Source organism: Homo sapiens, chromosome 4, assembly GCF_000001405.40.
Source record: "Homo sapiens chromosome 4, GRCh38.p14 Primary Assembly".
In the NCBI taxonomy this organism is placed as follows: domain Eukaryota; kingdom Metazoa; phylum Chordata; class Mammalia; order Primates; family Hominidae; genus Homo; species Homo sapiens.
The window spans coordinates 142,230,840-142,245,656 of NC_000004.12; the positions used below are offsets into that span (position 1 = coordinate 142,230,840).

Genomic DNA, 14,817 nt, shown 5'->3' on the forward strand with positions numbered 1-14,817 from the left:
AGAAAATTACTAAGCCCCCATATGAGCCTTTCTTCACAGCAGTAAACAACTTGAGAGATATCTAACATTTCCTCCTTGTGAATTTTTTTGGAACTAAACCATAATATTAAAAAAGTATAGTGTTATGAGAACACTTCACCGCCAATTCAAAAACTGCTATGTTTCAAACTTGAATTCAGAAGGTGTTAATGCTTAAGCCAATTGAAGGGAGCCCCCAAAGGATTTAAAGTGTATCACAACCCTGAGACTTTGTGTATGTACCATCTCAAATTTAATAAAAACAGTTCATGTTGAGTCCAAATGTCACACTAACTGTGAGACTAAGAGACTAACAGCAAGTGTGTTTTTTGATGGCAGCTGCAGGCAAGACAGACACTATGTGCAAGTGATGCAAAAGCAGTTGCTGCGCCGTTATGTCCCTGCCAACATTTCCACTCAATGTCAGGATTGGCTGCAAAGAATAACTTCCTCCATTCTCAATTTTACATATGTGTATGCTTTACACAAATAAGCAAACAGTGCACATATACGTGATTTCTGCAAACAAGACTCACACGGACTTATGCTTTCAGGTATACACCAACTTTAGATGTGTGAAAGTTAATAATATACTTTAATGTTATGAGTGGGATTTCATTCTCGCTGATTTAAAAAAATTATGAAACCACTAATAATATCTTGTTTGTAATATATAGTTTGACTATATATTTAGACGTTTCTATATAACATTTTCTTAATTCTATTCCTTTGCTATTTTCCTTCACAAGTAAATCCACAGTAAAAATTCAAGAAATCTTTATCTGTGAGGTGAAAAAATTGATATCAATCATAGCAGCCTTTTAAATTCTCCCTTTTCCACTCCCTTGGAAAAGTAGAGACCGTTATGTAAGAAAATATTCAAATAATTGTCTAAACACTTCTATAGAGTGATGGCAACACACCAACTCACAATTGTTTATTCATCAGCTTATACATAAATGTTTCAAATCGGGATTTAAAAAAGAGGTAAAGGGTCAAGTTATTATAAAAAGAAAGTATAGGATTTTAAAAATCCTGACTTCATAGAAGTCAAGGATTGACTATGGTTACAAATTCATCATCTTGGTAATTAAAAAGACAGGCCTGCTTTTGTCAATAAAGTTTTATTGAAACAGCTACAATTAATCATGCAAATATTGTCGATGAGTGCTTTTGTATTACAATGGCAGAGCTAAGTAGTAAGGACAGAGATCACATGCCTTGCAAAGACAAAAATATTTACTATCTTGCCCTTTAAGAAAAAGTTTTTGCTTACCCCTCATGTAGGGCATGAATGAGTTCATATTGTATTTACTAATTTTTTGTTAAAAATCATATATTTTACATATATATTTATTGTGTTTTACTGTGCTTGGCTTTATTGCTCTTCACAGATACTGTGTTTTTTTGTTTGTTTTTACAAATTGAAGATTGGTGGCAATCCTTCGTGAAGGTCTACCAGCTCCATTTTTCCAACAGCATGTGCTTACTTCCTATCTCTGTGTCACATTTTAGAACTGTTGCAATGTTTTCAATGTTTTCACTAGTATATCAGTCATGGCAACCTGTGATCAGTGATCTTTGATATTACTATTGTAATTATTTTGGAGTGCCATGAACCACACCTAAAAGACGGTGAACTTAGTCAATAAATGTTGTGTGTTCAGACTGTTCCAACTGATCAGACATTCCACCATCTCCCTCCCTCTTCTCCTTGGGCCTCACTATCCCATGAAACACAAAAATATAAAAGTTAGGCCAATCTATAACCCTACAATGGCCCACATGTCTCTCACTTTAAATCAAAAGCTAGAAATGATTAAAGTGAGGAAGGCATGTCAAAAGTCAAGAAAGGCTGAAAGTTAGGCCTCTTGTGCCAAACAGCCAAGTTGTGAATGCAAAGAAAAAGTTTTTGAAGGAAATTAAAATTGCTACCCAGTGAATACACAAATAATAAGAAAGCAAAACAGCCTTATTGCTGATGTGGAGAAAGTTTTGAGTTTTCTGGATAGAAGATCAAACCAGCCACAACATTCCCTTAAGCCAAATTCTAATCCAGAGCAAAGTCCTAACTCTCTTCAATTCTATAAAGGCTGAGAGAGGTGAGTAAGCCAAAGAAGAAAATTTGAAGCTGACAGACATTGGTTCATGAAGTTTAAGGAAAGAAGCCCTCCTCATAACATAAAAGTACAAGGTGAAGCAGCAAGCGCTGATGGAGGATCTGCAGCAAGTTATCCAGAAGATCTAGCTGAGATCATTGATGACGGTGGCTATCATTGATGAATGTGGTCTGAAACTGAGTGCACAATATCTCTCAGGTATGCATGTGTGTGTGTCTGTATATGTGTGTGTGTGTGTGTGAGTGAGTGTATGTGTATTCCCACAGGTCCTATACAGAACAATATATGAAAGGGACTTAGACACAGTTTGTATCTGCTACTCATTGGTTTACTGCTCTTCACCAAAAAAGTTACAATTTAGATAATATTTATGTTAAAATTTCAGAAAATAGTTATTTTGTGTCTTTAGCAATGTAAATGACTGTAACATAAAGTTTCTCAGGCACAACTTCTGTCTTTATGGAGAAAAAACAAGCAAAATTTTTGCTTAGTGGTTCTTCCAGTTTGGATTTCCAAGCATATAAATGAATGGTTTGCACTCTTTGCAACTATTGAAACATAATGGTACTAAAGCACCTGTCATTTTCATTAAACAAGGTAAGAGTCTATCTGAATTGTGAGACTGGGAGGGAAGTTGGTACAAATAAAACACTTTCTGGGATCTGAGTAGAGGTAGTGGAAGAGCAGCTGAGAAAAAACTTCAGAGTAAAGCTTTGCCCTGGAGATTACACCAAGAAGAATGCTTCAGGTTCTTTTACAGGACAATTTCCCATTCTTAACATGCCTAATTTAATTCTTACATTATGGTATATTAATTTTATATCATAATATAATTTAATTTTTATATTATATTACAAATGTAATTCTTAAACTATTTTCTCAGTTGGATAGGATATATCTTCAAGTAGGATTTTCAAGAATGTTTGGTGTGTAATGGTTTCTGAGCTCTTGCATATGTAAGTACATCAGCTTCGTCCATAAAAAATTTATAACCTAACCCTATATAATAATGTAAAGCCACTGCCTTTTTCTCTCAGAAATCAGCAGATACTGTTCCACTGGGTTCTACAGGGAAGTATAATGCTAGCCTGATTTTAGCATGTAAAAGATAAAACAAAACTGTAGATTCAGGAATCTTTTTAATGCTTTTTATCAAGTTTTTGCACTAACTGTTCTTCCCCTAAGAACACTTAAAATTATTTAGCAATGTCCAGCTCTTTGTCCTGCACATCTAACATCTTTTCTCTCATCCATTTGAACTTTTTTACACCTTTCTTTAGCATTTAGGAAGAGCGTATTGTGTTTGTCTTCCAAATTACAGACATGATTTCTTAGTGTTAAATCTTTTTCTGCTGGCTCTGTGGATTTAATGTGGCCACTGCATTTTAAAATTTCATTATTTAGTGCATTACACTTTTCTTCATGACCTTTTTTCTTTAGTTGGTTCTCTTTGTATAGATTTCTTATTCTGTTTTACAATAACTGTATCTTCTTACACTCTACTGAGACAGCTGGCCAATTTTCCTACAAGCTTTTCCTATTTCCCCTTTGAGTCTCCAGGAAGAATTTTAAAAATCTCCTTTTCGTTATAAAATGTTAAACATTAATTGTTGAATTTTTAAATAAATTCTAATGATAGGAGATTTATACAGAAAAGGTATTGGAGAAAGCCAAAACTATACAGCCTGGTCATCATAGACCCTGGTGAATTTTTGGAATCTATCAGGCTTTTATACCTTTTGTTTTTGTAGAATTAAAATGTAATTTTCTTCTTTGAACAATTCCAGTTTCTAATTTTATCTCTGGCAATGGAACTTCATATTGGGAGGCAGTGTTTATTTGTCTTTCCCAAAAGTGCCCACCAGCCCCTTCCATGTGTTAGCAAATGTTTTGCTGTGAAGCATACGGAAATAACAAAAGAGATACAGAGAAAGCCATAAAGAGAAGAGAGAAGAGGGTAGGTGGATAATACTTTGATGTGTTCAAATAACAACAATAGTAATGACAGTGGCTATGCCTACAAAAATTCAATAGTTTATTAGTTTCTTTCTCCCAAATCCCTACTCATTCTTTCTCCCTTGATTTGCTATCAATGAATGGAGACAGAGGAGTATTAGTGAAAATAGAGGTGGACTTTGAAGATAGCACTGTGAAGGACTCAAAAGTAGCAGACAAGCAGTAGAAAGACAGCGGCTCATCCTTTAAGAGGTTTCTAAACTGAAGACCCAAGACAGAGGCACAAGACGGAGTCTATATCTTTACTCTTTCGTTTCCTAGCTTGTTGAATTTTTAAATGAAGTGGTGTTAATGATCCATCAACTAAGATTTTCAACCCAAAAATATTAGGCTAAAATTAGTTATTATGTTAAATACTATATATAGTATAATAATATATTATGTTAATGAATATATGTTAATGAATTTCAGTGTTTTATGACATGTCATTATTTATTTATTTTTTTGAGACGGAGTCTCGCTCTGTCGCCGAGGCTGGAGTGCAGTGGCGCGATCTCAGCTCACTGCAAGCTCCGCCTCCCAGGTTCACACCATTCTTCCGCCTCAGCCTCCCGAGTAGCTGGGACTACAGTCGCCCACCACCACGCCTGGATAATTTTGTTTTTGTATTTTTAGTAGAGATGAAGTTTCACTGTATTAGCCAGGATGGTCTCGATCTCCTGACCTTGTGATCCACCTGCCTTGGCCTCCCAAAGTGCTGGGATTACAGGCGTGAGCCACCGCGTCCACCTGACATGTCATTATTTTATATTGTCTATGTCTTCACAGACATTTTATTTCATTTATCTTATTTTTTATTGCTATATCATAGTTGTATATATTTTGGGGATACATGTGATATTTTGATATTTGTATATGATGTGTAAATCACAGTAAATGGGATATTCATCACCTCAAAAATTCATCTTTTCTTTGTGTGGTGAACATCACAATTCTTCTAAGTATTTGGAATTATAGAATAAATTATTGTTAACTGTAATTAGAAATCTAGTTTTGGCTATGCTAGATGTAGCTATTCCAGAGCCATTTAAAGGGTAAGCCCTAGTCCTAAATTATTAAGTCTGCTTCATCTGGCAACTCCTCTTCTGTGTTTCTCAGGTCCTGCCTGGAATCTCATGCTTGTCTACTGAGAGTCTTTCCTTATTCTACATAACTCCTGTGAGGACTAGCTACTGTCTTCAACCCTTCAGGATAAAACGGTGATCATTACATGGCTCTAGTAAGAGTGGTTCTTGGTGTCCAGTGGTCTAGAACGCAACCATGTTGAGCATAATGACTCTTATATGACTTCCAAAATCCAAACTCCTTATGCTTCTACTGTAATACATAAGCTTGCTTTATCCTTCCAGGTAATGTGTTTTGTCTATTGCCTACATTACCATGTCTATTGCCTAATAGTATTAGGTAGGGATAATGTTGAAAACCCACTTCAGGATAACTTGGCTTCTTAACTTCCTCTTGCAGTTGGCTCTTATGGAATGTGCTTAGATTCCTGAACATGTCATAGCTTCTCTTTGCCTGAGTCCATACATGTTGTCTGATTTCTCTGGTTTTATTATCCTCACTCTGCTACTCTCAAATATTCACCTTTCTGTCTCATTTTTAGTCTTTATTTCCCTAGATGCAGATTATATTTTAATAATCCAGTTTCCTGTCTAATTTCCCTGAAATTGGGGTTCTGTTTTCATATTTCTGCAGTCATGCCTACTCTAACCAATTTTGTTAATAGTTTCCAATTTTACCTGCCCTGTCTATGGTGTCCTCACTGGCTTAGGTCAATATGGAATCCCTACGGGCTTCAGAGTCGACCAAAAGAGTAAAATACTATTAAATAACTATGTGTACTAATGTGAGCATATGGCAGGAACCCAATTGCTAGAAATTTCACACTCTGCTGTAGATTTCAGCAATTAAAAAGTGTTAACGCTTTAAAAGTTGCTAATTTAATGAGATTTAGAACCTTAACAGTATTTTATATAAGGTAGCATTCAGCATTTTTAATGCTATTACAGGTTTGTTTAAAAGGCAGAGAAACAAATTGATTAGTCATGGTCCAGAGATACTCTTATCAACCAATCAGCTCTCAAATCCTTCTACCTTATTATAGCAACTGATTTAATTTTGTTGTACAATACTGTCCATTAGCATAGCATGTTTTATTCAGTCATCTCCAGTAGTTTTTAGACTAATAAATTTCTGAAAGTCTCGCTACAAATGAGAAGTCCAAAGGAGAGTCAAATAGGAATTACTTCCAGAAACAGCAACCATAAGCAGTTGAGGAAAAGACACAAGAATTATTACAAGATCAAAGCTCAAATTATTGGCCAGATACCAAGGTATCCACAGAAATATAGCTCAAACCACAGATGAAAGTAATATATGTAATGTTAAATTTTCTAGTAGCCATATTTTAAAAGTTTAAATAAAAAAGCAGGTGAGGTTAACTTTAATAATATATTTTATATAACCCCAATATATCCAAGTTAATATTTTGTTATTAAATCATCTGCAAGCGTGGCTAAGAATTAAAGACCTGGTGTGTATCTTACACTGATAGAACATTTCATTTTGGACTAGTCATATCTCAAGTAATCAATAGTTACATGGGACTAGTGGCCACCATAGGGGACAGTTCAGGTCTAGATTTCTATGTTATCTATAGAAATAGATAACATAGAAAAAATGTTCTAGAGAAAAAATAATAATTGATAAGTACGTGAGGTAAGGCAAATGTTAACTGGCTCGGTTTAGCTATTTCACAATGCATACATATTTCAAAATGTTGCACAGATTATATATAATTTGTCAATTAAAAATTTTTAAATGGTATAAAATAATTAATATGAGAGAAAATAGTTATTTTCTCTTACCTGCACAAATCTTCTTTAATGTGAAGGGAAATCAATTCCTTAGGAATATGAAAGGAAAGAATGCTCTCTGACATCTGCTCTCGAATTCGCATCCACTTATTGTCAGATGTGGGAAATCTATATAATTTACATACTGGGTTCTTTAACACTGGAAAAAAAAAGAAAAAATAATAGTTAAATTCTAAGCAAATGCATGTCAGGTGAAGCTCAATTAATAAAACCATTAATCAAGATGGCATTTTTATTATTCATTTGATCCAAAATGTCTTTTTTTAAATCAAAATCCATTAGTGTATCTGAATTTCTAAGAATTTTATTTTGATTAGTGTATCTGAATTTCTAAGAATTTTATTTTGACATCTTATTTTTTTCAGTAGCTTCTGAGACATATAATCTTTGTTAAATTAAAAAAAATTATACATCAAACTCCAAATCATAAATGTGGCTACTGTGGCTTTCTAGTTTACTACCTATTGATTCTTCTCTTCTTCTAAAGTTTTATAAAGTGTATGTGTCTACAAACATACATTAAAGCATAAGTATGTACACCTAATATATACTTTGAACAAATATATTTCTGAATTTCTTCTGATCACTTTTAGTCAACTTTACCTATTTACATAGCAGGTCACAAACTGATATGTTATTTTAGGAGTTACAAAAGGTCTTACTAAATGTTATTTCTTACGTGTCAGAAAGGTTCACTCTTTTGTCTTAAAATCTGTAAAAATTCAAATACCAAGCATACTTTAGTGCCAATGAGTCAATAACACACTTTTCTGAAACCATGTATTATCAGAAGCAAGGCAGAGAGACTGTGAAGAAACTGTATTTAGGGTGGAGGGGAAAGGAACAAGGTCATGTAACCACAATTTTAAAAAACTTCAGAAAAAGCATATAGGATTAGATATTATGATAACATTTGATACTTATTAGTGAAGCCAGTACTCATACCACACTTTCAAGTCATCAGGGGAGAATTTCATTTCCATTGCTCTTCAGCAATGAATGCCTATGTCACACTTACACACCAAAGCTTAGTGGGCAACAAAATATCAAGTCAGTCACCAGTCAAGAATCTATGATTAGCTGGCTTCAGTTTACAATAAGGCTAATTAAAAATATCAGTTGATATTGAAGCAGAAGGCTGTAAAAAATACTGAACATGGTATGTCGGCTAGATCTTCTCAATGTACAGGGAAAAATTCTTTTCAAAATTTTAGGGTCTGTAAGAACAACATATTTCATTCACTACTTGGGTAAAAATATATCTTCTTGAACACTGAAATGAGGATCTATTCATCCTTTCCTCTGCAATCATCCATTCTCAAAGGTACACTAGGGACATTATCATTATCAAAATTGGTACCATAATGGAAATTTTGATTTCGAACATCCCATTCTTCAACCACCAGATTCAAAACTTCTAGTACATGTACATGCGTCCTGCCAAGAATTAGAGTGCTTACTTTTCAACAGCACCAACAGAAGCCAGAAGAAAGTACACTATTTCTAGCATGTTGAGAGAAAATACTGCATTTTAAAATCTAGAGCTGTATGCTCCCAAAGATTATCTTTTGAATATAAGCACAATATTTAAATTTTGTCAATTTGGTTGTTTACAGAATATATATTTAGAGTTCATTATCTTTACTTTCTTTTGCCTGAAATATAAGAACTTACAGCCAATCAATAAAAGAAAATAAAAAGTTTTAGTCATTTGTAAAGTGACAGTGTTTCAAAGATATAAGAATTTGATTACTGCTTCTATTATAGTATCTCTGGAATAGGAAGAGAAAAAATATGTACTAAATTTATTATGGTGTCCATATACCAAATATGAGATCTCATGAATTCCCAATATATCTAACATGGTTAGGAATAAGCATGCATTATTTTATGGTAAGACAAACTTCAGTCCTTAAAATGGCCAAATTGTTTCTTATTTAGCAACATATATAAATATTTAGTTACTTAGTTTATCTAGAGTCAGTATAAGTGCTATTTTTCAACCTCTTTTTTTTTCATGATCACACAGAACTTTTGTATCTCCTAAAGCAAGGTTAAAAATCCTTGGATTTTGCTTGCCTTTTATACATCAATAATAATTTTTTAGAAAAACTGTATTTTTAATTATGTCACAAAATATAAAAGTCTTCCTTTGTTGATCTCAAAACGAATCCTTCTAATTTTTAGTTTATTGTTTTCTTTTTTTTTTTTTTTGAGACAGGGTCTCATTCTGTCACCAAGGCCGGAGCTTAATAGTGTGATCTCAGTGATCTTCCTGTCTCATCCTCCCAAGTAGCTGGGACTACAGGAGCATGCCAGTTTTTTTTTTCTTTTCTTTTTTTGTAAAGACAGGGTTTCACCATTGTTACCCAGGCTGGTCTTAAACTCCAAACTCCTGGGCTCAAGCTATCCGCCCATTTCTGTCTCTCAAAATGCTGAGATTACAGGTGCAAGCCACCACGCCTGGCCTTATTGTTTCCATTCTAATACTCTTCAATGCACTCTGAATATAAACCTTTGTTGAAATAGATTAAACAGAAATCAAGGGTGGTTTGATTAATGAACACCAGAACTCTCCTGTAACTACCAGGTACACATCATCCAAGGACTCTCTAGGAATGCTGCTATTTATAAAGAAAATACTTGTAACAATTTAAAAACCAGGCAATTTAATCATACAAAAAATTGCCAGTGATGTTGCCTATTTAACTTTTATGTTATGGGTTCTGATCTTTTGAGACTCATACTCCAAACATTAGTACTAAATTGCGTATCTTTATCATTATCTCAATGTAGATATAATGGAATCTACTTTGCAACCCAGTTTGACCCAGCAGTGTTGCTTATTAAACACCTATCATGTCTGATGCAAGAATACCTCCTATGTATCATAAAATACAGTATAACAGAGTATTATTTTTTAAATAAAGAAACTGGGTCTGAACTTTAAATACCATGCAGATTTGTTGCACTGGTTACAAAAAGAGCAAATAAAATGTTCTCAACTCAAAATTCTTGATGGTCTGATGGTGGGGAGGTTTTGTTATCGCACATAAAAGAAAGGCACGGTACTCATGTATCGAATATTGAACAATGTGCCACAAAAGATGAATGTTTTGTCAACTTTAAAAAAAAAGATTCTTCTCTATAGCATACACACTCTGCTCACACACACTCCAGCTGTGGAAATAAGCAAATAACTGTGTGAATGACTTTCATCTCTGGCTCTCCACTGGTGGCAAGTATTTATTCATGCAGGAGATGGCTTGCTATCCATACAATAGGCTTATCTCAATAACTATGTAATACCTATTATAAGTTCTTTTTAAAGAGAGCCCTGTGTGTATTCTCATCTTCATTTTTTTTTTACTGCTTTTGCCATACAATTGCTAAAAATATCATGCGACCGATTATATCAAAAGAAAAGTAGTTGAGACATTTTGGACCATATCATTGTATTGTGATGACAATGTGAGTAAAGTTCTAAACTAGTCCAGATCTTGATTGACACATTCCCCTTGAGGTCCACCCCTTGAGATCCACCCCTTGAGATGAACACATAGAAGGAAAGTAAACGGCAGATTTTTCTTTCCTTTGAAATTGCAGCACAACTCAAATTTCTATATTGTTTCTCCCAGATTGTAATAGGGACATTTAACAAGGTAGCATGTCACCTGCTTTTTCATGGGATTCAGTAATTGTGAAAGCCAAACTGCTGCAGTTCTAAATTATCCAAAGTAAGGATGCCAAGGAAATGTTCAACAGAGCCAACACAGATAGAAAAGACTGTTGCTCAAGTAACCTTGGGGCAGAAAAGATAAATCAAAGAGATATCATAGGGATGGCCTTCTCTTTGCTGTTTCTGTAAACAAAGGTATGCTAGGAATATCAGTGGGTTGACTGGACAAGAAATTTTGGAAATACAGATTCAGGGTCCAGGGGATAATCAAAAAGCTCAAACATTTATTTCACCAGGTTATCGTTTATATGTTTCTCCAGAGGAAGCTAATCTGTGATTATCTTCACACACTTTCTTGCTTCCAGTACACGATAGAAGCAGCATATTTAAATGAATCCAACTTGATTGGCTTCAGGCAGTACATTCATTATTTTACTACACTGCAGATTCTTGTAGAGAATCTATTCATTCCATAGTTTTAATTATGTAGTTGTTTAATTAATTATTCAGCTAAATGTATCTATATTGCCTATTCTCCAAAAGCTACATTATACTTTCTAAGGATAAGTCTGTAATCCAATTAGACACTGACACATCCTCATTTGTATTTGAAGATATCTTAAATACATAATAAATGAAACTTGGCTCTTTTAAAGATCGGATGAGCACTGAGAAATCTAAACAGAAATTTTACAAAAACACTATCCTTAGCATGGCTTCAGAAAAGTGAGGGTAAGAAAAACATGAGAGGAGCTCAGAAAATACAGCAAACAGATACCCTGAATGCAGCCAAACCCACAAGCTCCTGGCCAAAAATAAGAAAAACTATTGCAGATGTCATAATAAAACACAAACGTATTATTTGTCTGCAGTTGGTGACAATTGGTGAATTTCATCTGTAGAATTTGGATTTGAGATCTTGGGTGGTTAGAAAAAGGATTGGCCTTAGTTCTGTTCATTCTGTTTCAGTGAGTGAAGGATACAACTTGTAAAGCTAGAAGCTAGCTTCTATTTCATGCTGAAAAAACCAAGACAACCCATACTCTATTCCACTCATCAAGTTGTTTCTTGCCAGTATGCCTCTGATCAAGGCATTCCATGCAAATCACAGGAACCCCCCACTTTCCTAACCACATGTAATCATCCTATAAACTTAGCTCAGCTATCGCCTCCTCCAGGAAGCCTTCTTCAGTTTCTACTACCTCCCTCCCTATATAGATGTCTCTCCTTTTTACATCACATCCCCGTCTCTATCTTGGTTCTTACCAACTGTACTACAGTAGTCTGTTTAGTGGTCCATGTCTCCCATGGGAATATGAGCTTTATGTGTGGGGGGAGTGGTGGAGAGAGCTGTGTGGTTTTTCTTGTTCTCTTTTTTTCCTCCTGCACTTACCATAATGCCCAGTAAATATAAACATTCCACAGAAGTGAGCCTTAGATCTGGCAACTCAGATGTTTCTCGTCATTACTCTCCCCATGAAGAGAGCAGGTACACCACCAATTGTGGAAATTGAGAGGGGAAAATGCAAGACGGAAGAGCATAATTAAAAGCCCCAATGCAAGAGAGAGCACAGGGATCAGAATCAGGGAAAAGATTAACCGTAACTGAAAGACCCCTTTATGTTCTTCCACAAAATGTAAACTTTTTGACTATTATCACTGTTTTGCCTATATTGTTTTTCTCCTAGTTTACCTAAAGGAGGAAGAGGAGGAGATAAATGGACTTAGGAAAGATAGTTGAAGCATTTAAAGTCATCTAAGAGATGGTTCTATTCATCATTAGATAGTCAAATTTACTCTTCCATTTGAAGCTACTTAACATCTTAAGTTAAATCCTGTATTAGCACACAGTAATGAAAACATATGGAAATTTCAATAGAGCAAAGCCAGTGGATTGCATCACGTTTGTTAAAACAGCAAAGGACAAATAAATCTAGGGAGGAAGTGAAAAGGATCAAGGGCCAATGTTATAAGCCAAGATGGCCCTAAATTTTACATACCAGAGACTTACAAACACTGAGGCAACATCCATTTAAATCACACGGAGAAAATATATTTTTGTTGTTATAAAATGAATATCATCTGATATTTGACAAAGTAGTGAATTTAGTAACACATTAATGAAAGGAAAAATAGGAAAAAATTTGGCATTTGCTTTTGGCTGGAATTCATCAGGACTCAAAATGAGTATAGCAGGAACTAGTTTTGAGAATCTTAAAATATTCTGAATCATGCATTGTTTGGATGGGGGTGGTAATGAGGAGAAAGTTATCTCAATATTTAGCTCAATTGTGTGGTATTGTGAAAGTCAATTAAAATCTATGGTGCTACATGGTAGAACAAACTTTATTATTATTATTATTATTATTTATTATTATACTTTAAGTTCTGGGATACATGTGCAGAACATGCAGGTTTGATACATAGGTATACACGTTCCATGGTGGTTTGCTGCACCCATCAACAAGTCATCTACATTAGGTATTTCTCTTAATGCTATCCCTCCCCTAGCCCCCCACCCCCTGACAGGTCCCAGTGTGTGATGTTTCCCTCCCTCTGTCCATGTGTTCTCACTGTTCAACTCCCACTTACGAGTGAGAACATGCGGTGTTTGGTTTTCCGTCCCTGTGTTAGTTTGCTGAGAATAATGGTTTCCAGCTTCATCGATGTCCCTGCAAAGGACATGAACTCATCTTTTTTTTATGGCTACATGGTATTCCATGGTGTATATGTGCCTTTTTTTTTTTTTTTTTTTTTTTTTTTTTTGAGACAGAGTCTTGCTCTCTTCCCCACTCTGGAGTGCAGTGGTGCGATCTCGGCTCACTGCAAGCTCCGCCTCCTAGGTTCACGTCATTCTCCTGCCTCAGCCTCCCGAGTAGCTGGGACTACAGGCGCCCACCATCATGCCCGGCTAATTATATTTTTGTATTTTTAGTAGAGGCAGGGTTTCACTGTGTTAGCCAGGATGGTCTTGAACTCCTGACCTCATGATGCACCTGCCTCAGCCTCCCAAAGTGCTGGGATTACAGGTGTGAGCCACCATGCCCAGCCCACATTTTCTTCATCCAGTCTATCACTGATCGGCATTTGGGTTGATTCCAAGTCTTTGCTATTGTGAACAGTGCTGCAATAAACATACGTGTGCATGTGTCTTTATAGTAGAATGATTTATAATCCTTTGGGTATATACTCAATAATGGGATTGCTGGGTCAAATGGTATTTCTGGTTCTAGATCCTTGAGGAATCTCCACACTGTCTTCTAAAATGGTTGAACTAACTTACACTCCTACCAACAGTGTAAAAGCGTTCCTATTTCTCCACATCCTCTCCAGCATCTGTTTCCTAACTTTTTAATGATTGCCATTCTAACTGGCATGAGATGGTATCTCATTGTGATTTTGATTTACATTTCTCTAATGACCAGTGATGATGAGTTATTTTTCATATGCCTGTGGGCCACATAAATGTCTTCTTTTCAGAAGTGTCTGTTCATATTCTTTGCCCACTTTTGGATGGGTTTTTTTTCTTGTAAATTTGTTTTAAGTTCCTTGTAGATTCTGGATATTAGCCCTTTGTCAGATGAATAGATTGCAAAAATTTTCTCCCATTCTTTAGGTTGCCTGTTCACTCTGATGATAGTTTCTTTTCTGTGCAGAAGCTCTTTAATTAGATCCCATTTGTCAATTTTGGCTTTGGTTCCCAGTGCTTTTGGTGTTTTAGTCATGAAGTCTTTGCCCATGCCTATGTCCTGAATGGTATTGCCTAGATTTTCTTCCAAGGTTTTTATGGTTTTAGGTCTTATGTTTAAGTCTTTAATCCATCTTGAGTTAACTTTTTGAATAAGTTGTAAGGAAGAGGTCCAGTTTCAGTTTTCTACATACGGCTAGCCAGTTTTCACAACACATTTATTAAATAGGGAATCCTTTCCCCATTGCCAGTATTTTATTGAGGATTTTCGCATCGATGTTCGTCAGGGATATTGGCCTGAAATTTTCTTTTTTTGTTGTGTCTCGGCCAGGTTTTTGTATCAGGATGATGCTGGCCTCATAAAATGAGTTATGGAGGAGTCCCTCTTTTTCTGTTGTTTGCAATAGTTCCAGAAGG

General features: G+C 35.2%; 1 protein-coding gene across 64 annotated transcripts in view; it reads right to left on the bottom strand.

The window, feature by feature from the left end:
• The window catches only part of INPP4B (inositol polyphosphate-4-phosphatase type II B), an 823,376-nt gene that overhangs the window by 207,680 nt on the left and 600,879 nt on the right, over positions 1-14,817 (bottom strand). For all 64 annotated transcript variants that reach the window (NR_169617.1, NR_169615.1, NR_169599.1 and 61 more), the window contains one exon: positions 7,025-7,172. Coding sequence is in view for 54 of the 64 variants with exons in the window: in NM_003866.3 (NP_003857.2) it covers positions 7,025-7,172 (148 nt within the window). In the remaining 10 variants the exon portion in view is untranslated. The remainder of the gene's footprint in view (positions 1-7,024; positions 7,173-14,817) is intronic.